At 37.0% G+C, this 27,115-nt stretch overlaps 1 protein-coding gene and 1 pseudogene across 4 annotated transcripts in view, besides 1 other annotated feature; both read left to right on the forward strand.

Moving 5' to 3' along the window:
- Positions 1-27,115, forward strand: part of RSRC1 (arginine and serine rich coiled-coil 1) — a 435,642-nt gene that overhangs the window by 378,060 nt on the left and 30,467 nt on the right. The window lies entirely within an intron of this gene.
- On the forward strand, positions 8,418-8,781 carry RPS12P7 (ribosomal protein S12 pseudogene 7; annotated as a pseudogene).
- Positions 15,438-15,937: an enhancer, noted in NCBI's record as "H3K27ac hESC enhancer chr3:158221375-158221874 (GRCh37/hg19 assembly coordinates)". NCBI's record gives its function as "activates a minimal SCP1, AML or CMV promoter by ChIP-STARR-seq in naive H9 embryonic stem cells {active_cell/tissue: H9 hESC(naive)}" and the evidence as "EXISTENCE:reporter gene assay evidence [ECO:0000049][PMID:30033119]".

Here is a 27,115-nt window from a genome sequence, read left to right on the forward strand (position 1 = left end):
GGTTTACAACTATCCTAGAAAATATGTTTCTCTCATCTTGTCTTTTTATATATGTGCAAGGGTGATATGTAATTTTTAAAAATCTGTTATGTCTGAAGGAACTCTTTTAATAAGTATAAAAAATTCTAAATAATAGGAAAGTATTGTGCCACAATTTAATTGACAGCTTTGTTTTTCTTACTGTTATGTAAAAGAATTGTGTATTACAATTAATAGCATCTTAGATTTGATGAAATATGATATTAATACCTGTATCACATTATTTTATTGTACTGTTTTATCATTTAATTTCTCTGTTGTGACCTGCCATCCATGTTCAGCTCAGACAAGAAATTCTTTGTGACTGACTGACAAGAGGATGTTTTTTCTCAACCATTGCTGACCATATTGGAAATTTTAGACATTAAAGAAGAGCTGCTTAGAAATTAGAGTATATAAAGATGTTGTTAGAAACTTTAGAAACTCTAGCAAAGGGTCCATTAAAGAAATAAAATTCCCTGATAATTTTTTTAATAAAGTTAATTTTCTTTTTGACAGGTGAAAGAGGCCATTCCCGTATTAAACTCTGCTGTTAAATGAGTAGCTTATTTCTAACTAAGTTAAGCCAGGAGATGAGTCCCTTTGTTTAACACTTCTTAAAGTAAAAGTTAACATCCTGCCTTTATCTAATTGCTATCAAAGACATTAGTCTATTTGGCTCTAGCATGATTCAATTGCATGAGGTCATGCAGCCTAGCTGTAATAACTTAAAGTGCTTCACTTGGTGATAAGGAAATATATTAAAATGCTCTCAGGTTTATTACTGCCTAAGGTCATGCTTTATGGTCAGTCCATTTACTGAAGTTGTGTTGTAATAGCACTAACCTGAACTCACATTTTTAAGTCTTTCAATACAAGAAACACGCTAAGTTTTAAGAAATTATGCTTGTATTTTAATCCACTTAAAGTTTATTATTTTCATTTTACCACTTGGTAGTGGAGTTGGAAATAGTTTTGTTATCTCGTCACTAAAAGCATACATAAAAGGTTTTTTCCTTCAGCCTTAATTTTTGAAAACAAATTTTAAAACTTTAGAAAAACTCTGCTATGTGAATGGGAAGGCTTTGATTTAATTTCATTTTCACTTTGATTTCAAATCTTTCTTTATACTTTCATAAATAACCAAATGCAAGCAGGTTCTTCCAAGTCCACCCTTTGTATCCCACATGAGCATGTGCTGCTTCATTAGGCTGGCTCAACCACCTGGTGTGGAATCTTCAGCCTCAAGAGACTATCTTAACATCTGGCATTAGCTATGATCTTTGTGCATGTATGCTTAATCTTTTTATTGACATTTTATAAAGAAAAAATGTGGGACAAATTATGAATGGATATAGAACAATACAAAATAAAGTTGTAGTTTATTTTTATATAATTTATATATTTAGTTTATTTTATGTAAAACAAACCAGTAAAAAACATGGGTAGTATTTCAAATTAATTTATCTTCAAATTTAGTGTGATGTATGTTATATAAAAGATATTTATGTAAAATATTGTTGGTTGAGTTATTAACCTAGGGTCAAATGCAGTCATCCTTAAAAAAAATTATATACTTTGTTCTGTAATTGAATACATTGTTGTAGCTTTTTTAGTATCATTTCTAATAGAGTAAAATTTAGGATGATTTGATAGTAAAACAGGAAAAGGGATTAGTATCTTACTAACCTTCTGAAAGATAATATAGTTGAGTTTCTGAACTAGGAAATATTGAGATAATGTATGAAAGGAAATGTTTTCTTATCACAGAACAACTAAAGAATATTATCCATTATGTGGTGAAAAAACATAAAGGGAGTTATTGAATAAGTATAACTGAACTGGTTACAATGTAAACAAAAGTGCTGTAGCTTGTTTTTCTATGAAAACCTCTTTCTTTACTACCTTCAATTGTTTTTGGTTTTGTTTTGTTTTTGAGACAGAGTCTCACTCTGTCACCCAGGCTGGAGTGCAGTGGTGCCATCTCAGCTCACTGCAAGCTCCTCCTCCAGGGTTCACACCATTCTCCTGCCTCAGCCTCCCGAGTAGTTGGTACTACAGGCATCCGCCACCACACCCAGCTAATTTTTTGTGTTTTTAGTAGAGATGGGGTTTCACCACGTTAGCCAGGATGGTCTCAATCTCCTGACCTCATGATCCACCCACCTCACCCTTCCAAAGTGCTGGGATTACAGGCGTGAGCCACCACGCCGGGCCCCTTCAATTTTTTTAAAGGATTAAAAGAAGCTAAATTATTCTTAGTGCAATTCTTTAAATTATCCTGTGTATTTAAAATGGAGCAAAACTGGCACCGTGTGCAGAAAATAAAAGTAGTATGTAGTGATGTAAAGTATCATTATTTTATTTGTATATTTATAGATATAGTTATTCCATTTAGTAGTAGTTAAATTTTTAAAAGCAAATTAAGAATGAATTATCAAATAAGGTAGAGCTGTCATTTTTATCTATTTAATTTAGATAAAGTAGACATTACACTTCATAATGTATTTACTTGGATATGGGACTATGTTGAGAACATATGTGATAGATCTGTAGGTGAATGGAGAGAAATTTGTGCTTTGGAGCCCAAGAGATGGAAACTGATGCTAATCTTAATCTGCTGACCTGCTGAATGATCTTGATTAGTGTTCATATTATACACGTACTGCTGAGATTGGGAAGATTGTGCAGCTACTAAATGCATTGCTATGATAACTTAAAAGGACAAAGATTAACAGTGGTGTTGAACACTAATGTGATAGAACAGATTCACCAAGTGTAATTTTAGCAGTTGAAGACAAACTTCTCTAATAATTTGTGGAGGGAGTAGAGATGTCATTTATTATTCTGATATTTATGAGGTCAGTACATTAAACTCTATAAAACTTTTGCTTTTCAATAATTGTCTTTTGCTGCCCTATTTTGATATTAACTGAAACTGATAATTTTATCATAGTTTTCCCAGTTAATGTGGCTTATATGATAGCTATCTCATTTCCTCTTGTCTACTAGGAAATAGCCCAGAAGAAAGAGGTGTAAAATAAATAAAATCATAATTAAAGCAGTACATTCACTGAAAACCTCTTTGCCCATTTAAGATTTTTAATTTCACAAATGTAAAAATGAGAAGTGTTCTTCATGTGGATCCCTAGTGATCAGAAATGGTTTATGGTACCTTATGTATGGAATGATGTAAACTTGAACTGACTTTCACAGCCAGATCACTCAATCTATTACAAGATTATCCAGGAGTATTGGAGAGGCAGGATTTTGCTTTGTTTTGTTTTGGTTTGGTTTGGTTTTTTTGGTGTTTATTGCCTGAGTTAGGTATGGCTCTTTGGATCCCAAACGAAGAATGTTAAGGCTTTCGGTATAATTGGCTTTGTTATAATAAAATTGTATGTTTTAACTGATTGACAACTGGTAAAAGGGGACTTTAACTGAAAATTTTAGTTAAATTAAGTTAGCCATTTTGAATGTTTAACAATTTAATATTTATGGACATGTGTTTGATTATCTTTGATTATCAAATTATATGCTGAAGTAATGAAAATAAAGATAACTCAGTATAATTTTCATGTATGATTATAGAACATATCAACAGTGAAAAACTTTTACTTTTGACACCTCGTGCTATGGGTTGGAACATTCTGAGTGGAATGTCATTTATCCAGAGGTTTTGCCTTTTTATATAAAATATGAAAAGGAAGGTGATGTTTCAAGGAAAATATTTTAGATCTCAGTAGCATTTTTTATGAGTTTTTTAAACCTGTGTGTATTAGTCCATTTTCACACTGCTATAAAGAACTACCTGAGACTAGGTAATTAATAAAGAAAAAAGGTTTAATTGACTTACAGTTCCACATGGCTGGGGGAGGCCTCAGGAAACAATCATAGCAGAAGGCAAAGGCGAAGCAAGGCATGTTTTACATGGCAGCAAGAGAGAGAGAGTGGGCGAGCAAGGGGGAACTGTCAGACACTTTTAAACCATCAGATCTCATGAGAACTCACTCACTATTACAAGAACAGCATGGGGGAATCCACCCCTATGATTCAGTTACCTCCCACCAGGTCCCTCCCTTGAGATGTGAGGATTACAATTCAAAATGAGATTCAGGTGGGGACACAGAGCCAAACCATATCACTCTAAGTTGTATATATTTAATCTGAGCTTTTCCTAAGTGTTAAGTAATAACCTGACAGTTTTTAAAGCCATAATATATTTTCAAACAGTACTCCCATTATAAGATTAGACAATTTTGAACAAATCTGGTCAAAGCTACTATTTGACTGTTTTAGTTACAGAATGTTCTCTGGATAGCTGCAGATGATATAGGAAATTGTTCTAAACATCTTCTTCCCCCCAATATAGTCCAGAAATGGGCTGGGAGGTGGAGAAATTCTCTTTATTTTTCTCCCTCTGCCACTTCCCCAGAAGGAAAGTGCCAGTTGCTTCTGGTTAATTGAGCTTTATCCTGACTTCTGTTCTCACTCTTCAAGTTTACATTTTATTTATCTTCTCAGTGCCATTTTATTTCCTCTTTTTCCTATTTAAATTAAGTCATAAAATGTTAGAACTGTAAGGAATCGTCAAGATCATAATCTAGTTTAGCTTTCTCATTGCTGTCTTTACAACTAAGAATTTATTTTCTTTTATCTCCTTTCTATCCCCACCCTGCTCCCACTCCTCCCCCGCAACACACACAGACAACCTTTGCCAGAAGAAATGTAGTGAAGAGGAAAAAGCAAAACCAGATTAAGGGGAGAAATGTGTTTCTAAGACTGTGATGCAGAGAAAGAAGCTCTAAATGTCATCTTGCTTGGGAAAGTGGCCATTTCTGTCAGAGAAAAGTGCTCTATAACGACAGGCAATAAACCAAAAGAGGCAGTCATAGTATTTTAATTAACTCTACTGGAGGGGGAGTGGGAATCTTAAGTAGGGTCACAGAATTGGAGGAAGTAGATTGAAGTAAAGTGAGATTTGTTAAATCTCTTTTAACAAATGCTGTAAGAAGCCCTAATCATCATCTACTGAGTTGAAGCAGTAGGTCATTGTTCACAACTAAGCAGTTATTGAGTAGCTTGCATTGGAGGCACCAATAAACTTTTATTCTCCCCAGTAGAAGTCTTTGAAGCAGTTTTAATCAGGTCCTGTACTCATGTTTTAAAATTTAGACTTTTAGTTTGTTTTCTGTTATGGGGTGAGAAGGGAAAGGGGAGACTGGGTAGAGAATATTTAGGAAGCAGGAAAATAGGAAATATTTTGTGCCTCATACCTCTCATTTAGAGTTATTTCTAAAACAACTTTTTGTTTTTTAAAGAAATGCTCTATACCCGAGTCAAATTAGAGAAAATAGATTTTTTGATGTACTGTTAAAAAACAAAATTAGTCAAATTTAGCATACTTCAATTGAGCTAAGAATAATTCACATATCAAGCACCCCTCAAAACCAGAAGGGGGTCAGAGAGCTTCATTCCACAATATGGGCAGGCAGCATTTATGGACAGAAAATGGAAGTGAGGTACAGAAACAGCCTGATTGTTTGCAGCTCAGCATTTGACTCATTTGGACATGGAATGATCAGTTGGCCATCTGTGATTGACTGAAGCTCAGCTACTGTGATAGGCTGAGACTCAGCTGGTTGTCACATAAGTATATCCTTATATTAGGCTTTCAGTTACTTTACCTACTAAATTAGGTTCCAGTTAGTTACATAAGGACTCGAGTATGGAGGCATCCTTTAGGCCAAATTTAGTTTAATTTATAAATATCCAAGGAAGTAAAAACAAGAAAGATTTAAGACTAGAATAAACATACCTGAGATAGATTACAAAAATAAAAGTGGAGGAGGGGGTAGTTTAAAAGACTAAAGCAATGAAATTATTGAAATTATTTTATCACTTCAATATTAGTCACATGCTGCTTATTGACAGGGATACATTCTGAGAAATGTCATTAGGTGTCATTTTGCAAACATTGTAGAGTATACTCTCACAAACCTAGGTGGTATAGCCTACTACACACCTCAACTATATGGTATAGCCCGCTGCTCCTAGGCTACAGACCTTTACAGCAAGTTACTCTGTAGGCATTCATAATGCACTGGTAAATATTTGTGTCTCAAAACATAGAAAAGTTTGGTAAAAATATGATATAAAAGATTTTTTAAATGGTACATCTATATAGGGCACTTAACCATAAATGGAGTTGTAGAACTGGAAGTTGCTCTAGGCAAGTCAGTGAGTGGTGAGTGAATTTGAAGGCCGAGGACATTACTGTCCACTACTGTGGACTTTATAAACACTGTACGTTAGGCTATACTAAGTGTATAGAAAGCATTTTTTTCTTCAATAATAAATTAACCTTAGCTTACTGTAACTTTTTTACTTTATAAACTTTAAATTAAATTTAAATTTTAAAACTTTTTAGCTCTTCTGCAATAACACTTAAAACACAAATATTATACACTGTACAAAAATATTTTTCTTATACCTTTATTCTTTAAGCATTTCCTCTATTTGCAGTTTTTTTTAACTGTTTTAACTTTAAAACTTTTTCGTTAAAACTAGGACTCAAACACATACGTTAGCCTAAGCTTTCACAGGGTCAGAATTGTCAATATCAACGTCTTCCACCTCTATATCTTGTACCACCAGAAGGTGTTTAGGGGCAATAACATGCATGGAGCTGTCGTCTCTTATGGTAATGATATCTTCTTCTAGAATACCTCCAAAAGGCCCTGCCTGAGGCTGTTATGATAAAAAATATAGTATAGTAAACACATAAACCAGTAACATAGTCATTTATCAGCAAGTATTATGTGCTCTACATAATTGTATGTGCTATAGTTTTATAAGACTGGCAGCGCTGCTTTGTTTCCACCAGCATCACCACAGATGCATGAGTTATGTGTTGTGCCACAATGTTAGGGTAGCTATGACATCACTGGGCAATAGGAATTTTCAACCCCAGTATTATAATCTTGTGGAACCACCGTTGTGTATTTTATATGCAGCCTGTTATTGACCAACACATTTTTGCACATTACATAATTTTCTTCATATAAAGCAAGATCTCCAATATGAATTGTTTTTTGTTTTTGTTTTTTGGGTTTTTTGTTTGTTTGTTTGTTTGTTTTGACAGTGTCTGACTCTGTCACCCAGGCTGGAGTAGAGTGGCACGATCTTGGCTCACTGCAACTCCACCTCCTGGGTTCAAGCAATTCTCCCACCTCAGCCTCCTGAGTAGCTAGGACTACAGGCATGTGCCATCATGCCTGGCTAATTTTTGTACTTTTTGGTAGAGACAGGGTTTCACCATGTTGTCCAGGCTGGTCTCGAACTCCTGACCTCAAGTGATCCACCCACCTCAGCCTCCCAAAGTGCTGGGATTACAGGCATGAGCAACCATGCCCGGCCTCCACTGTGAATTGTTTATGCAACATTTAGTTTCTGATTATGCACACACTGCCCACAGTCACTCAGAAAACTTAAGTAATTGAAATGTGTTTTAGTGACAGCTTAAGTCAGAGGTCAGCAAACTAAGACCAATCAGCCAAATCCAGCCCACCACCAAGTTTTATAAAGTACTGTTGAAATAAAAGCCACTCTCATTTGTTTACATATTGTCAATGGCTGCGTTTGTGCTGCAACAGCAGAATTGAATAGTTGTGACAGAGACTTATGGCCTACAAAGCCTAAAATACTGTCTTGCCCTTTACGGCAAAAGTTTGCTGACGCCTGGCTTAAATAAGAAAGTAATTCTAATACCAAAATACAATTACAAATATAATGTGAAATATAATTATATATCTATATATACATACACACATATGTTATATAGGTACAAGTGTACATAAAAGAGAAATTATTGGGGAATGATCTCTTCTTTTGTGGTATTTGTGCCCCTCTACTACTCTTGCCTAGCTTTTTTTGCCCTGCATATTAAAAATTAGTATTACATTCTTTATAAAATATATCTAGCGGTGCAATTGGGGCACAAAATTTACTCTATGAATAGTTACTCTTCCTCTGAATAACTGAATTTTGATTTTATGTATTTGTCATATTTTTGCATACTTGGGAGATCGGATTTCTGTTTAAACAGGATAGACTAGTGGTTTTCAAGCTTTAGTGTGCCTCAAAATCACCTGGAGACTGATTGTTCCACTCCCAGAGTTTCTGATTCAGGGGGTCTGAGATAGGGACTAAGGATTGCAGTGCTAAGAAGTACACCCAGGTGATGCCGATACAATTGGTCTGGAGAGCACACTTCGAGAACCACTGGAATAGACCTTCATTATAGTAAAAGAGTAATAGGGACCCATGGAAAGACAGCATTCACTGAGATAGCCTGAGTCTTCTGAAAATTTACCACCCTTTCCCAGAGTTGGCCTTGTGGCATTATGGACATGAACACTGTTTTACAAAACATGCTGAAGACTGCCCTCATCCATGATGGCTTAACATGTGGAATTTGCAAAGCTGCCAAAGCCTTAGACAAGTTCCAAGCCCACCTTTACATGTTTGCATCCAGCTTTGGTCTGTGATGAGCCTGTGTATGTCATGTTGGTGGTGGCCCTTTGTGCTGAACACCAAATCTACCTAAGTAAGGTTGATGACCGTAAGAAACTAGGGGAAGAGATAGGCCTCAGAGAGGGAAAACCCTATAAAGTCATTGGTTGCAATTGTGTAGTAGTTAAGGACTATGGCAAAGAATCTCAGGCCAAGGATGTCATTGACGAGTACTTCAGATACAAAAAAAATAAGCAAATAAAAATTTTGGCTTATGGAAAAAAAGAGAGAGGGTTTAAGTAGAGATGAAAAGCAGAATATAAAATAGAATATATACTATGAAAAAATTTTTAATTTAAAATTTTTTAATTGTGGTAAAATAATACATAAGAAATCTTACCGTCTTAACCATTTTAAGTATACAGTTCAGTAGTGTTATGTATATTCACACTGTTGTACAACAGATCTCCAGAACTTTTTCATCTTGCAAAACTGAAACTCTATACCCATTAAACTATAACTCCCCCTTCCCCCTCCCCCCTAGCCCCTGGCAACCACCATTAGGAGTGTACCTACTTTTTTTTCCATAAGTTATTGGGGTACAGGTGGTATTTCGTTACATGAGTAAGTTCTTCAGTGGTGATTTGTGAGATTTTGGTGCACCCATCACCTGAGCAGTATACACTGCACCACATTTGTAGTCTTCTATCCCTTGCCCCCCTCCCACTCTTCCCCCCAAGTCCTCACAGTCCATTGTATCATTTTTTTTTTTTTGAGATGGAGTCTCATTCAGCCGCCCAGGTTGGAGTGCAGTGGCTCAATCTCGGCTCACTGCAACCTCTGCCCCCCGGGTTCAAGCAATTCTCCTGCCTCAGCCTCCCGAGTAGCTGGGACTACAGGCGCGTGCCACCATGCCTAACTAATTTTTGTATTTTTAGTAGAGATGTGGTTTCACCATGTTGGCCAGGATGACCTCGATCTCTTGACCTCGTGATCCGCCTGCCTCAGCCTCCCAAAGTGCTGGGATTACAGGTGTGAGCCACCACGCCCAGCCCATTGTATCATTCTTACGTCTTTGTGTCTTCACAGCTTAGCTCCCACATATCAGTGAGAAGATACAATGTTTGGTTTTCCATTCCTGAGTTGCTTCACTTAGAATAATAGTCTCCAGTATCATCCAGGTTGCTGCAAATGCTGTTAATTAATTCCTTTTTATGGCTGAGTAGTATTCCATCGTGTGTGTATATATATACACACATATCTCACAGTTTATTTATCCACTTGTTGATTGATGGGCATTTGAGTTGGTTTCACGATTTGCACTTATGAATTGTGCTGCTATAAACATGAGTGTGCAAGTATCTTTTTCATATAATGACTTCTTTTCCTTTGGGTAGATAGATACCCAGTAGTGGGATTGCTGGATCAAATGGTAGTTCTACCTTTAGTTCTTTAAGGAATCTCCATGCTGTTTTCCATAGCAGCTGTATTAGTTTACATTCCCACTAGCAGTGTAGAAGTGTTCCCTGATCATCGCATCCATGCCAACATCTTTTTTTTTTTTTTTATGGCCGTTCTTGCAGGAGTAAAGTAGTGTTGCACTGTGGTTTGGATTTGCATTTCCCTGATCATTGGTGATGTTGAGCATTTTTTCATTTATCTGTTGGCCATTTGTATATCTTCTTTTGAGAATTGTCTATTCATGTCCTTAGTCCACTTTTTGATGGCATTGTTTTGTTTTGTTTTGTTTTCTTACTGATTTGAGTTCTTTGTAGATTCTGGATATTAGTCCTTTGTCAGATGTGTAGATCGTGAATATTTTCTCCCACCCTGTGGGTTGTCTGTTTACTCTTCTGACTGTTCCTTTTGCCATGGAAAAGCTCTTTAGTTTAATTAAGTCCCAACTATTTATCTTTGTTTTTATTGCATTTGCTTTTGGGTTCTTGGTTGTGACATCCTTGCCTAAACCAACGTCTAGAAGGGTTTTTACAATGTTATCTTCTAGAATTTTTATAGTTTCAGGTCTTAGATTTAAGACCTTAATCCATCTTGAGTTGATTTTTGTACAAGGTAAGAGATGAGGATTCAGTTTCATTCTCCTACATGTGGCTAGCCAATTATCCCATCACCATTTATTGAAAAGGGTGTCCTTTCCCTACTTTATGTTTTTGTTTGCTTTGTCGAAGATCAGTTGGCTGGAAGTATTTGGGTTTATTTCCGTGTTCTCTATTCTGTTCCATTAGTCTATGTGCCTATTTTTATACCAGTACCACACTGTTTTGGTGACTATGGCCTTATAGTATAGTTTGAAATCAGGCCGTGTGATGCTTCCAGATTTGTTCTTTTTGCTTAATCTTGCATTGGCTATGCAGGCTCATTTTTGGTTCCATATGAATTTTAGAATTGTTTTTTTCTGGCTGGGCGCGGTGGCTCACACCTGTAATCCCAGCACTTTGGGAAGCCGAGGCGGACTGGTCATGAGGTCAGGAGATTGAGACCATCTTGGCTAGCATAGTGAAATCCTGTCTCTACTAAAAATACAAAAAATTAGCCAGGCGTGGTGGCACGCGCCTGTAATCCCAGCTACTCGGGAGGCTGAGGCAGGAGAATGGTGTGAACCCGGGAGGTGGAGCTTGCAGTGAGCCGAGATTGTGCCACTGCACTCCAGCCTGGGTGACAGAGCGAGACTGTCTCAAAAACAAAAAAACAGAGTTTTTTTTTTTCTAATTCTGTGAAGAATGATGGTGGTATTTTGATGGGGATTGCACTGAATTTGTAGATTGCTTTTGGCAGTATGGTCATTTTCACAATATTGATTCCACCCATCCATGGTATGGGATGTGTTTCCATTTGTTTGTGTCATCTATGATTTCTTTCAGCAGTGTTTTGTAGTTTTCCTTGTAGAGGTCTTTCAGCTCCTTCATTAGGTATATTCCTAAGTATTTTATTTATTTTTCAGCTATTGTAAAAGGGGCTGAGTTCTTGATTTGATTCTCCAGTTGGTCGCTGTTAGTGTATAGAAAAGCTACTGATTTGTATACGTTAATTTGCTGAATTATTTTATCGGTTCTAGGAGCTTTCTGGAGGAGCCTTTAGGGTTTTCAAGGTAATTGATCATATCGTCAGCAAACGGTGACAGTTTGACTCCCTCTTTACCTATTTGGATGCCCTTTATTTCCTTTTCTTGTCTGATTGCTCTGGCTATGACTTCGAGTACTATGTTGAAGAGGAGTGGTGAGAGTGGGCATCCTTGTCTTGTTCCAGCTCTCAGAGGGAATGCTTTCAACTCTTCCCCATTCAGTATTATGTTGGCTGTGAGTTTGTCATAAATGGCTTTTATTACATTGAGGTATGTCCCTTGTATGCCGATTTTGCTGAGAGTTTTAATCATAAAGTGATGCTGGATTTTGTTGAATGCTTTTTCTGCATCTATTGAGATGATCATGTGATTTTTGTTTTTAATTATGCTTATGTGGTGTATGACATTTATTGACTTGCATATGTTAAACTATCCCTGCATCCCTCATATGAAACCTACTTCATCATGGTGGGTTATCTTTTCAAAATGTTGTTGGATTCAGTGAGCTGGTATTTTGTTAAGCATTTTAGCATCTATGTTCATCAAGGATATCGGTCTGTAGTGTTCTTTTTTTGGTTATGTCCTTTCCTGGTTTTGGTATTAGGGTGATGCTGGCTTCATAGAATGAATTGGGGAGGGTTCCTACTTTCTCTGTCTTGAGGAATAGTGTCAAAAGGATTGGTACCAATTCTTTGAATATCGGTAGAATTCTGCTGAGTCCTTCTGGTCCTGGGCTTTTTTTTGTTGATAATTTTTTTAATTACCATTTCAATCTCACTGCTCATTATTGGTCTGTTCAGGATATCTAATTCTTGCTGATTTAAGCTAGGAGGGTTGTATTTTTCCAGGAATTTATCCATCTCTTCTAGGTTTTCTAGTTTATGTACATAAAGGTGTTCATAGTAGCCTTGAATGATCTACAAAAGATCATTCACTGGTGTGAGTTTAATATCTCCTGTTTCATTTCTTAATGAGGTTATTTGGATTTCCTCTCTTTTCTGGGTTAATCTTGTTAATTATCTATCAATTTTATTTATCTTTCAAAGAACCAGCTTTTTGTTTTGTTTATCTTTTGTATTTTTTTTGTTTCAATTTCATTTAGTTCTGCTCTGATCTTGGTTATGTCCTTTCTTCTGCTGAGTTTGGGTTTGTTTTTTTCTTGTTTCTCTAGTTCCTTGAGGTGTGACCTTAGAATGTCAGTTTGTGCTCTGTCAGTCTTTTTGATGTAGGTGTTTAGGGCTATGAACTTTCCTCTTAGCACTGCCTTTGCTGTAGCCCAGAGGTTTTGATTGATTGTGTCATTACTGTCATTCAGTTCGAAGAATTTTTAAATTCCTATCTTGATTTCATTTTAGATCCAATGCTCATTCAGGAGCAGGTTATTTAATTTCCATGTATTTTCATGGTTTTGAAGCTTCCTTTTGGAATTAATTTCCAGTTTTATTCCAGTGTGATCTGAGAGAATGCTTGATAAAATTTCAGTTTTCTTAAATGTATCAAGCCTCATTTTATGGCCTATCTTATGGTCTATCTTGGAGAAAGTTCCATGAGCTGTTGAATAGAATGTGTATTCTGGGGTTGTTGGTTGAAATGTTCCGTATATATCTGCTAAGTCCATTTGTTCCAAGGTATAGTTTAAATCCAGTTTCTTTGTTGACTTTCTGTCTTGATGACCTGTCTAATGCTGTCAGTGGAGTATTGAAGTCCCCTACTATTATTGTGTTGCTGTCTATCTCATTTCTTAGATCTATTAGTAATTGTTTTATAAATTTGGGAGCTCCAGTTTTAGGTGCATATATGTGATATTTTCCTGTTGGACAAGGCCTTTTGTCGTTATATAATGTCCCTCTTCGTCTTTTTTTAACTGCTGTTGCTTTAAAGTTTCTTTTGTCTGATATAAGAATAGCTACCCCTGCTCACTGTTGGTGTCCATTTGCATGAAATGCCTTTTCTGCCCCTTTACTTTAAATTTGTGTGAGTCCTTATGTGTTAGGTAAGTCTCCTGAAGGCAGCAAATAGTTGATTGGTAAGTTCTTATCCATTCTGCGGTTCTGTATCTTCTAAGTGGAGCATTTAGGCCATTTACATTCAATGTTAGTATTGAGATGTGAGGTACAGTTGCATTCATTGTGCTATTTGCTGCCTGTGTATTTTGTTTTTTGTTTTGTTTTTGCTTTTTAACTTGTATTTTTGTGTTATAGATCCTGTGTGATTTATGCTTTAGAGAGGTTTTGTTTTGATGTATTTCCAGGATTCATTTCAAGATTTAGAGTTCCTTTTAGCAGGTCTTGCAGTGGTGGCTAATGGCAAATTCTTCCAGCATTTTTGACTGAAAAAGACTGTATCTTTCCTTCATATATGAGGCTTAGTTTTGCTAGATACAAAATTCTTGGCTAATAATTGTTTTGTTTGAGAAGGCTGAAGATACGGCCCCAATCTCTGCTAGTTTGTAGGGTTTCTGCTGATAAATCTGCTGTTAATCTGATAGGTTTTCCTTTATAGGTTACCTGGTACTTCTGTCTCACAGCTCTTAAGATTCTTTCCTTCATCTTAACTTTGGATAACCTGATGACAATGTGCCTAGGTGATGATCTTTTTGCAGTGAATTTCCTGGGTGTTCTTTGTGCTTCTTGTATTTGCATGTCTAGTTCTCTAGCAAGGCTGGGGAAGTTTTCCTCAATTATTCCCCCAAATATGTTTTCCAAGCTTTTAGAATTCTCTTCTTCCTCAGAAACACCAATTATTCTTAGGTTTGGTCATTTAAAATAATCCTAGACTTCTTGGAGGCTTTGTTCTTTTTTCTTATTCTTTTTTCATTGTCTTTGTTGTATTGGGTTAATTTAAAGACCTTGTCTTTGAGCTCTGAATTTCTTTCTTCTCCTTGTTCAATTCTACTGCTGAGAATTTCCAGAGCATTTTGCATTTCTATAAGTGTGTCCCAAGTTTCCTGAATTTTTTATTGTTTTCTCTTTAAGCTATTTCCTTTAATATTTCTCCCTTCGTTTCTTGTATTGTTCTTTGGATTTCCTTGCATTGGGTTTGCCTTTCTCTGGTACCTCCCTGATTAGCTTAATAACTAACCTCCTGAATTCTTGTTAAGGTAAAAATGATTTCAGGGATTTCTTTTTGGTTTGGATCCATTGCTGGTAAAGTAGTGTGATTTTTGGGGGTTGTCAAAGAGCCTTGTTTTGTCATATTACCTGAGTTGGTTTTCTGGTTCCTTCTCATTTGGTTAGAGAGGGAACCAGAAAACCAGCTCTGTCAGAGGGAAGGTCTAGGGCTGAAGGCTGTTGTTGAGATTCTTTTATTCCATGGGGTGTTCCTAGATGTAGTACTCTCCCCCTTTTTCTATGGACGTGGCTTCCTGTGAGCCAAGCTGCAGTGATTGTTGTCTCTCTTCTGGGTCTAGCCCCTCAGCAAGTCTACCCAGCTCCGGGGTGGTACTGGGGGCTGTCTGCACAGAGTCCTATGATGTAAATCATCTATGGGTCCCTCAGCTGTGGATACCAGCATCTGTTCCAGTGGAGGTATTGGGGGAGTGCAATGGACTCCGTGAGGGTTCTTAGCTTTGGTGGTTTCATGTTCCATTTTTGTGAGGGTTGGCCTCCTGCTGGGAGGTGGCACTTTCCAGAGAGCATCAGCTGTGGTAGTATGGAGAGGAACCAGTGGTGGGCGGGGCCCTAGAACTCCCAAGATTATATGCCCTTTGTCTTCAGCTACCAAAGTGGGTAGGGAAGGACCATCAGGTAGGGGCAGGGCTAGGCATGTCTGAGCTCAGACTCTCTTTGGGTGGGTCTTGCTGCACCTGCTGTTGGAGATGGGGGTGAAGTTCCCAGGTCAATGAAGTTGAGTACCTAGGAGGATTATAGCTGCCTCTGCTGAGTCATGCAGGTTGTTACGGAAGTAGGGGAGGGCGGCAGTCACAGGCCTCATCCAGCTACCATGCAAACCGAAGGGCTGGTCTGACTCCCACCGTGCCCCCCCAACAGCCCTGAGTCTGTTTCCAGGTGTTGGGCGAGCCAGGCTTGAGAACTTGCCCCAGACTACCCGTCTCCCAGAAAAGGGCTTGGTTCTTCCCCCACCTGTGGAGTCTGCACACGGGATTTGTGCCCTCCGCTGAGTTCTGGCCAGGAGGCTTCCCATCCCATTCAAATTGTTACACAGTTCAGCTGGAAATTTCCTTCTCCCTGTGGTGTTTTTCCCCCCAGCTCCTCTAGACACCGTCCTGGTGGATTCCTGTGGTGTCAGGCAGGAATGTCCTTGGGCACCCAGTGAACTCCCAGGGCCTTTCTGCTGCTTCTTCTACCCCTGTATTTCACTCAGCTCTCTAAATTGACTCAGCTCCAGGTGAGGTCAGAAACTTCTCCCACAAACAGACCTTCAGTTTCTCCAGTGGGGGTGTGTGTTCGGGAGAGGAGGCTGTCCCATTCTCACTTCCACAGTTGGGGCACTCACAGTATTTGGGATGTCTCCCAGGTCCTGCAGGAGCAGTCAGCTTCCTTCATTAGCTCTGTGGGTCCTCTCCGGATTGCTGGTTTGTTCTTGCAGTCATTCTGGAGCTAAAATTCACAATGCAAGCCTCTGTGATGCTGTCTGTCCATCCAGGTCGGAGCTGCAGTCTAGTCCTGCTTCCCATCTGCCATGATCAGATCAGGCTACTATGAAAATATTTTAATGGTATAGCCAATGAATTTAAGGTAATATGCAGTGAAAATTTGTTAAGAGTAGGATAAAATGTTGCTTTGCTGTTTCATATTACTTTTTAAATTGTATGACCTAGATTTACACACTGGTCTTTCTACTCACTGGGTACTGAGTGGTCTACTTACTACTTACTGAGTGGCCTTTGGTCATATCATTTAACCTCACTGAACTTCAGTTCTTGAAATAAAAATGAAGAAAACAATGCTTATCTCACAGGGATTTTATAAGAATTAACTATATGAAAGCACTTTGGCAAGTGTATCCAAATGTTAGCTGGAGGCTATATAAATACAAAATCTTGATTATTGAAGGATATAGAAAGCATGCCTATTATGAAATAATCTCAACGGTAGGATAAAGGAAACCTTTTAAAGTCTATGAGAGGAAAGAGATGATCAAGACTGTCTTCACTAGTTATTAAGTGTATTAGATTCATTTGTTAGGTATTTCCTTTAGATCTGACGTTTGGCCTTCAAATTTTTATTAACTTGGACTGTTTAGGCTTTTGAGGTTTCATTTGTCAAAGTTGTTAGTTCTTGTGTATTACTAACACAAATATTTATGGGTAGCTTTGGCCTTTTATCAGTGGAAATCAGAAAATCAATAAACTTAACAGTTGTTCATTACACAGTTGATGCATTTGCAGGACTATGTTGAGTACTGTAAGTGAATAATCAATTCAGTCAAAATCTATTACCAGGTCACTGCCAGTTTTTTTATAGTGTACTCTTTTATTTATGACTTTCATAGGTACTGCAGCACTTTTTTATGAAGTAGTCTTCTGTGGGATTCATACTGCTTATAATTGTGATCCTTTCACCTAGTTGGAAGCACCTGTCACCCTGGAGGTGTTCCTAGATTAGCCCTCTCTTGGTATAAGCAGGGCTCTAACTCTTAGGCCAGCTTTCTTTCACCCTAGGATTAATTTCATCAAGTTCATTCACTGAGCCAGTTTATATTTACTGATTCCCCACTGTGGGCTGAATACTGTGGGAGTACATGTAAGAGCTCTTCTGTATTATATCATCTAGTGGGTGAAAAACTCTGTAAAACTATAATGTAAGGAGAATAAATGCTCAGTAGAGCTTTGGGAAGGTTTCACAAGGAGTGGCATTTGAGCTGAATTTTGCAGAAGTAAAATTCATTTTGAAAAACTAGATAATAGGTATTCCAAGCTGAAGGAAGAACCTGAAAGGAAGTTTTGCATGCTATAGAAGTTCATAGAAGGTTTCTAGTCAGACTTACATAGGTTCAAGGAAGAAAGTAGATTGTAAACTGAGGGTTAAGAATAAGTAAGAATTAGATAGATGAAAGGGAGAAAGGATAGGAATGTTCCAAGTAAAGGGAACAGCATTTGTGAAACCTGTAATCAAGAGAATATGGTTCTTCAAATAATTGAAAACTGAATGAAATTTAACATGGCTGAAACCAAGTGATTCATGTAGGAAAATGATGTGCACCAAGCATAGAGGTTTTATCATGCAGAGATTTACAAACATTTCTTTAAAAAGCAAATAAAAATCCCAAAGAAATTTGTTAGCACTACTGGGGAAATACTACAGGACAATGATGTGGGCAAGGATTTTTTGGGTAAGGCCTCAAAAACACAGACAACAGAAGCAAAAATAGACAAATGGGATTGCATCAACCTATAAAGCTTGTGCTCAGCAAAGGAAACAATCAACCAAGTGAAAGACAAGCTTACAGAATGGCAGAAAATATTTGTAAACTATCCATCTGAGAAGGGATTAATAACCAAAATATGTAAGGAACTCAAATCTTTAACTCAATAGCACATAATAATAATAATAATTCCATTAAAAATCAGCTAAAAGGCCAGGCTTATGCCTGTAATCTCAGTGTTTTGAGAGGCCGAGATGGGAGTATGTGTCACATGGAGCCAGGAATTTGAGGCCAGCATGGTCAATGTAGCGAAAAAATAATAATAATTATAATAAATTTAAAAAGGAGGGAGGTGGGTATTTAGAGACTCTTATTGTACAGCCTTTTTCAAAGCATGTAACTTAAAAAGGAAAAACAAGCAAAACACCAGAATAGACGTTCCTGAAAAGAAGACGACATATAAACGGCCAACAGTATATGAAAAAATGCTCACCATCACTAATTATCAGGGAAGTGCAAATTAAAACCACAGTGAGATATCATCTCACCTCGGTTAAAATGGCCGTTACTGAAAAGACAAAAATTAGTGGTTGCTGGCAAGGATGTAGACAAAAGGAAACCCACATACACTGTTGGTGGGAATGTAAAGTATATAGCCACTATGGAAACCAGTATGGAGGTTCCTTAAAAAACTAAAAGTAGAACTACCATATGATCCAGGAATCCCACTGGTGTGTGTGTGTATATATTTTATATATGTATATATTTATATATATTTTATATATGTATATGTTTATTTTATGTATATATCCCAAATAAAGGAAACAGTTTATGGAAAAATATCTGCACCCTTGTGTTTATTGCAGCACTAGTCCTAGTGGCAAAGATATGGAGTCAACCAAAGTGCCATTAATGGATGAATGGATTTTTAAAATGTGTTGTATATATACACAATGGAATATTATTCAGCCACAAATAAAAGAGTGAAATCCTGTTATTTGCAGCAACATGGATGGAACTGGAGGTCATTAAGTTAAATAAAATAAGCCAAACACAGAAAGACAAATATCATATGTTGTCAATCACATGTGGGAGCTAAAAGGGTAGATCTCATGGAGGTAGAAAGTAGAATCATGGTTACCAGAGGCTGAGAACAGTGGAGGATGAAGAGAAGTTGGTTAAAGAGTACAAAAATAACAGATGGAAGAAATAAGTTTTAGTATTTGATAGTACAGTAGGGAAACTATAATTAACTATAATATTTATTATATATTTCAGAATAGCTAGAAGAGAAGAATTCTAATGTTCCCAACACAAAGAAAAATGTTTGAGGTGATAAATATTGCAGTTACCCTAATTTGATAATTATACATTGTATACATGTATCAAAATAGCACAGGTACCCCAAAATATGTACAACTATTATATATCAGTATTTTAAAAAATTGTTCAGGGCTCACAGGGCAGGTTTTTATAGGTGATATTATAAATGTTGTTCTGAAAAAAAGCCTGAGTAGCAGCATCTTGAAAGTTGATGGCCTGTCTTATGTATGAAATAAAATGTGACAATTCTTGTTTTATATAACAGGATTAGGATTATTCTCTATTGTTTAAAAAAATACAAGAATGCTTGAGTGTCCAAATTTTCACCAAAACCTTTTAATAAGAATTCGAATAATGTACCAGTTTTTAATCCAGGGCATTGGCCAGGTATGATGGCTCACTCTTATAATCCCAGCACTTTGGGAGGCTGAGGCAGGAGGAATGCTTGAACTCAGGAGTTTGAGACCAGCCTAGGTAACATAGTGAGACCCCATTTCAACTAAAAAAATTAAAAGTAGCCCAGCATGGGGGCACACGCCTGCAATCCTAGCTACTCAGGAGGCTCAGATGGGAGTACCCCTAGAGCCCAGGAGATCAAGGCTGCAGTGAGCTATGATCATGCCACTGCACTCTAGCCTAGATAATAGAATGAGAGAGAGAGTCTGTCTACAAAAAAAAATTAAATTTTATAAATAATAATAATCTAGGGATTTTTGTGGGTTTTGGTTTTGCTTTAAAAAAATTTAGTCTTTCAATGAGGATAGTTTAAATGGTTTGGAATTTGCTTCTAAGAACTGTAGGCAATTTGAAGGCTATGATGATCAGTTGTCTGGCACCCAGTCACAAGACCAAAGATCTTCCTATTTCTGTTATTCGTTTTCCTTTTCCTCTGTTTCTCTTTTTTTCTTCTTATTTCTCCCTCCTGTTGTTTCATCCCTTTTGTGTGTGTGTCTCTGTATGTCACATTTGTGTCTCTACCCTCTCTCTATATCTATTTCCTAGCCCCCATTTTTCTTTCTTAACTATCCACAATATATAACTAAAGTCTGTGTCATACATGTCGTACCTAATGAGTGTCACCTTGTTTTTCTCTCTTTTTTTTTTTAAATGCATATGTAGTCGCCCCCCGCCCTTATCTGTTGTTTCTCTTTCTGTGGTTTCAGTTACAGTGAACTGTAGTCCAAAACTATGAAGTGAAAAATTCCAGAAATAAACAATTCATAAGTTTTAAATTGTGCTGAGTAGCGTGATGAAATCTCACACCATCACACATGAACCATCTCTTTGTCCAGTGTATTCACATTGTATACACTACCGCTCATTAGTCACTTCGTTGCCATCTCAATTATCAGATCAACTTTTGTAGTATCTCATCACGTAGGCATTTTATCATCTCACGTCATCACAAGAAGGATGTACAATAATATCTCTTGAGAGATGAGGTCTTGCTCTGTTGCCCAGGCTGACCTTGAACCCCTGGGCTCAAGCAATCCTCCCACCTCTGCTCCCTGATTTGCAGATATTTTCTCCTGTTGGTTGTCTTTTTTACTTTCTTGGTTGTATTCTTTGAGACACGAATGTTTTTAACTTTGATGAAGTTCAGTTTATCTGCTTATTTTTTGTTACATCAGCTTATGGCGTGATATTTAAGAGGGCTTTGCCTAACCTAAGATCACAAAGATTTACTACTGTCATTTCTTCTCAGAGTTGTATAGTTTTAGGTTTTATATTTAGATCCGTGATCCATTTTGAGTTCATTTTTGTGTAGGATGTGAAAGATCCAACCCTATTATTTTTGCATGTGGATTATTCCAGTAGTCTTAGACCCACTTGTTGACCTCATTCAGTTTTTAACTGTTTTTATTAAGTATGACATACATTCAAAAGCCTCTTTAGAAGATATGTAAAGGGCATAAAGAATAACAGTAATATAGACACCTGCACACAACTTCCAATTTGAGATACAGAAAAATGAAAACTCTTCTGCTGAATTCTTCAATCTTTTCTATTCTGAATTTTATGCGTATTCTTCTCTTGCAGAATTCTCTCTATGCTTTCACCACATCTGTATATATTACCAATAATATAACATTTACTTTTAGAAATGTTATATTTCTAATTTTACAAATTTAAGTAAGCTGAGGTGGGAGGATCGCTTGAGCCCAGAGGTTCAAGGCCAGCCTGGGCAACATAGCAAGGCCCCATCTCTTACAAGATATTATATTAATATTTTACAAATTAAAAAATTACAAGATGTTGTATTTTACAAAGTAAAAAATAGTATATAAATTTTTATGACTTGCTTTCTTTTTCTGTTCAACATTATGGTATACCATAGTGATAGTACTGTCTATAGTTGTAGTTTATTCATTTTCACTGTTGTATAATATTCTATTTTTAGACTGTACCAAAACTTACTGATTCTCTTGTTGATGCACGTTTGGTTATTTCAGATTTTTTGCTATTAAAACATAAACATTCTTATACCTCTCTCCTGGTACACATGTGCAAGTATTTCTCCAGGTTGCATATATGCCTAGGAGTAGAATTGCTGAGGTATAAAGTACACACATCTTCAGTTCAACCACATAGTGCCACATTGTTTCCAAAGTGATTGATGCCAGTCTTCACTCCCCTAACTATTGCATAACATTTCTGATTGCCCCACATCCTTGCCATGCTTGATCTTTCCAGACATTTTGATTGTTGCCAGTGTATGATTTCATTGCCATAGTGTGATGACTATAAAATGTTATCTGATTTTGATTTGCAAGGTCATTTCCAAGATTACTAATGGGCTTGAGCGTCTTCTCATGTATGTATTGGTCATTGGTATTCCTTTATCTGTGACATGTTTATTCAGGTTTTTAATTACATGTTTCTATTGGTTTATCTTTTACTAGTTCTTTGTAAATTAATATGTATTACAGATATCTTCTCTTAGTATGTCTTAATTTTTATGTATTCAAATTTATTAGTCCTTTTATGTTTTATATTTTTTATGTCCTGTATCAGAAAATTCTTCCCTAAGTCAAGGTCATAATCATATTCTCCAAAGAATTTCCCACTTAAACTCTTAATCCACCTGGAATTTTTTTTTAATGTTTAATTTTCGTGGTATATAGTAGGTGTATAAATTTATGGGGTACATGAAATGTTCTGATACAGGCATGCAATGCATAATAATCACATCACAGAAAATGGGGTACTCATCCCCTCAAGCATTTATCCTATGTGTTATAAACAATCCAATTATACTTTTTAAGCTATTTTTAAATGTACAATTAAGTTATTGACTATAGTTAGCCTGTTGTGCTATCAGATAGTAGGTTTTATTCATCCTTTCTAACTGTATTGGAATTGATTATTAAGTCTTCATATCTAGTAAGACAAATCCCACACTTGATTTTTCTTCTATGAATAATTGGTTATTTTTAATCTTTGTTCTTCCATATGAATCAGTTTTTCAGGTTTCATTAAATAGATTAAGTAAATAAATTGACCAACTACAATGGTGAGAGTTTTATTGAAATTACATTGACTCCATAGATTTATTTGGTGAGAATAATGTCTTTATGATATTGAGTATTTTTATCCTAGAGCATGGTATAGCTCTGCATATTTATTTAGGTTTTCTTTAGTATCTGTTAATAAACTTTCACAATTTACTCCCTAAAGAATTGGCACCTCATTTGTTGGTTTTTTTTTTATTATACCTTAAGTTCTAGGGTACATGTGCACAATGTGCAGGTTAGTTACATATGTATACATGTGCCATGCTGGTGCACTGCACCCACTAACTCGTCATCTAGCATTAGGTATATCTCCCAATGCTATCCCTTCCCCCTCCCCCTACCCCACAGCAGTCCCCAGAGTGTGATGTTCCCCTTCCTGTGTCCATGTGTTCTCTGTGTCCATGTGTTCTCATTGTTCAATTCCCACCTACGAGTGAGAATATGTGGTGTTTGCTTTTTGTTCTTGCGATAGTTTACTGAGAATGATGATTTCCAATTTCATCCATGTCCCTACAAAGGACATGAACTCATCATTTTTTATGGTTGCATAGTATTCCATGGTGTATATGTGCCACATTTTCTTACTCCAGTCTATCATTGTTGGACATTTGGGTTGGTTCCAAGTCTTTGCTATTGTGAATAGTGCCGCAATAAACATACATGTGCATGTGTCTTTATAGCAGCATGATTTATAGTCCTTTGGCTATATACCCAGTAATAGGATGGCTGGGTCAAATGGTATTTCTAGTTCTAGATCCCTGAGGAATCACCACACTGACTTCCACCATGGTTGAACTAGTTTACAGTCCCACCAACAGTGTAAAAGTGTTCCTATTTCTCCACATCCTCTCCAGCACCTGTTGTTTCCTAACTTTTTAATGATTGCCATTCTAAGTGGTGTGAGATGGTATCTCATTGTGGTTTTGATTTGCATTTCTCTGATGGCCAGTGATGGTGAGCATTTTTTCATGTGTCTTTTGGCTGCATAAATGTCCTCTTTTGAGAAGTGTCTGTTCATGTCCTTCGCCCACTTTTTGATGGGGTTGTTTTTTTCTTGTAAATTTGTTGGAGTTCATTGTAGATTCTGGATATTAGCCCTTTGTCAGATGAGTAGGTTGCGAAAATTTTCTCCCATTTTGTAGGTTGCCTGTTCACTCTGATGGTAGTTTCTTTTGCTGTGCAGAAGCTCTTTAATTAGATCCCATTTGTCAATTTTGGCTTTTGTTGCCATTGCTTTTGGTGTTTTAGACATGAAGTCCTTGCCCATGCCTATGTCCTGAATGGTAATGCCTAGGTTTTCTTCGAGGGTTTTTATGGTTTTAGGTCTAACGTTTAAGTCTTTAATCCATCTTGAATTGATTTTTGTATAAGGTGTAAGGAAGGGATCCAGTTTCAGCTTTCTACATATGGCTAGCCAGTTTTCCCAGCACCATTTATTAAATAGGGAATCCTTTCCCCATTGCTTGTTTTTCTCAGGTTTGTCAAAGATCAGATAGTTGTAGATATGCGGCGTTATTTCTGAGGGCTCTGTTCTGTTCCATTGATCTATATCTGTGTTTTGGTACCAGTACCATGCTGTTTTGTTTACTGTAGCCTTATAGTATAGTTTGAAGTCAGGTAGTGTGATGCCTCTGGCTTTGTTCTTTTGGCTTAGGATTGACTTGGCGATGCGGGCTCTTTTTTGGTTCCATATAAACTTTAAAGTAGTTTTTTCCAATTCTGTGAAGAAACTCATTGGTAGCTTGATGGGGATGGCATTGAATCTGTAAATTACCTTGGGCAGTATGGCCATTTTCACGATATTGATTCTTCCTACCCATGAGCATGGAATATTCTTCCATTTGTTTGTATCCTCTTTTATTTCATTGAGCAGTGGTTTGTAGTTCTCCTTGAAGAGGTCCTTCACATCCCTTGTAAGTTGGATTCCTAAGTATTTTATTCTCTTTGAAGCAATTGTGAATGGGAGTTCACTCATGATTTGGCTCTCTGTTTGTCTGTTGTTGGTGTATAAGAATGCTTGTGATTTTTGTACATTGATTTTGTATCCTGAGACTTTGCTGAAGTTGCTTATCAGCTTAAGGAGATTTTGGGCTGAGACAATGGGGTTTTCTAGATATACAATCATGTCGTCTGCAAACAGGGACAATTTGACTTCCTCTTTTCCTAATTGAATACCCTTTATTTCCTTCTCCTGCCTAATTGCCCTGGGCAGCACTTCCAACACTGTGTTGAATAGGAGTGGTGAGAGAGGGCATCCCTGTCTTGTGCCAGTTTTCAAAGGGAATGCTTCCAGTTTTTGCCCATTCAGTATGATATTGGCTGTGGGTTTGTCATAGATAGCTCTTATTATTTTGAAATACGTCCCATCAATACCCAATTTATTGAGAGTTTTTAGCATGAAGGGTTGTTGAATTTTGTCAAAGGCCTTTTCTGCATCTATTGAGATAATCATGTGGTTTTTGCCTTTGGTTCTGTTTATATGCTGGATTATATTTATTGATTTGTATATATTGAACCAGCCTTGCATTCCAGGGATGAAGCCCACTTGATCATGGTGGATAAGCTTTTTGATGTGCTGCTGGATTCAGTTTGCCAGTATTTTATTGAGGATTTTTGCATCAATGTTCATCAAGGATATTGGCCTAAAATTCTCTTTTTTGGTTGTGTCTCTGCCCAGCTTTGGTATCAGGATGATGCTGGCCTCATAAAATGAGTTAGGGAGGATTCCCTCTTTTTCTATTGATTGGAATAGTTTCAGAAGGAATGGTACCTGTTCCTCGTTGTACCTCTGGTAGAATTCATCTGGCTGTGAATCCATCTGGTCCTGGACTCTTTGGTTGGTAAGCTATTGATTATTGCCACAATTTCAGATCCTGTTATTGGTCTATTCAGAGATTCAACTTCTTCCTGGTTTACTCTTGGGAGAGTGTATGTGTCAAGGAATTTATCCATTTCTTCTAGATTTTCTAGTTTATTTGCGTAGAGGTGTTGGCAGTATTCTCTGATGGTAGTTTGTATTTCTGTGGGATCGGTGGTGATATCCCCTTTATCATTTTTTATTGCGTCTATTTGATTCTTCTCTTTTTTTCTTTATTAGTCTTGCTAGCGGTCTATCAATTTTGTTGATCCTTTCAGAAAACCAGCTCCTGGATTCATTAATTTTTTGAAGGGTTTTCTGTGTCTCTATTTCCTTCAGTTCTGCTCTGATTTTAGTTATTTCTTGCCTTCTGCTAGCTTTTGAATGTGTTTCCTCTTGCTTTTCTTGTTCTTTTAATTGTGATGTTAGGGTGTCAATTTTGGATCTTTCCTGCTTTCTCTTGTGGGCATTTAGTGCTGTAAATTTCCCTCTACACACTGCTTTGAATGTGTCCCAAAGATTGTGGTATGTTGTGTCTTTCTTCTCGTTGATTTCAAAGAACATCTTTATTTCTGCCTTCATTTCGTTATGTACCCAGCAGTCATTCAGGAGCAGTTTGTTCAGTTTCCATGTAGTTGAGCGGTTTTGAGTGAGATTCCTAATCCTGAGTTCTAGTTTGATTGCACTGTGGTCTGAGAGATAGTTTGTTATAATTTCTGGTCTTTTACATTTGCTGAGGAGAGCTTTACTTCCACGTATGTGGTCAATTTTGGAATAGGTGTGGTGTGGTGCTGAAAAAAATGTATATTCTGTTGATTTGGGATGGAGAGTTCTGTAGATGTCTATTATGTCCGCTTGGTGCAGAGCTGAGTTCAATTCCTCGGTATCCTTGTTGACTCTCTGTCTCGTTGATCTGTCTAATGTTGACAGTGGGGTGTTAAAGTCTCCCATTATTAATGTGTGGGAGTCTAAGTCTCTTTGTAGGTCACTCAGGACTTGCTTTATGAATCTGGGTGCTCCAGTATTGGGTGCATATATAATTAAGATAGTTATCTCTTCTTGTTGAATTGATCCCTTTACCATTATGTAATGGCCTTCTTTGTCTCTTTTGATCTTTGTTGGTTTAAAGTCTGTTTTATCAGAGAGTAGGATTGCAACCCCTACCTTTTTTTGTTTTCCATTTGCTTGGTAGATCTTCCTCCATCCTTTTATTTTGAGCCTATGTGTGTCTCTGCACTTGAGATGGGTTTCCTGAATACAGCACACTGATGGGTCTTGACTCTTTATCCAACTTGCCAGTCTGTGTCTTTTAATTGGAGCATTTAGTCCATTTACATTTAAAGTTAATATTGTTATGTGTGAATTTGATCCTGTCATTATGATGTTAGCTGGTTATTTTGCTCGTTAGTTGATGCAGTTTCTTCCTAGTTGGCATGATTTTGCAGCGGCTGATATTGGTTGTTCCTTTCCATGTTTAGCGCT

This window comes from Homo sapiens, chromosome 3, assembly GCF_000001405.40.
Source record: "Homo sapiens chromosome 3, GRCh38.p14 Primary Assembly".
Taxonomy (NCBI): Eukaryota; Metazoa; Chordata; class Mammalia; order Primates; family Hominidae; genus Homo; species Homo sapiens.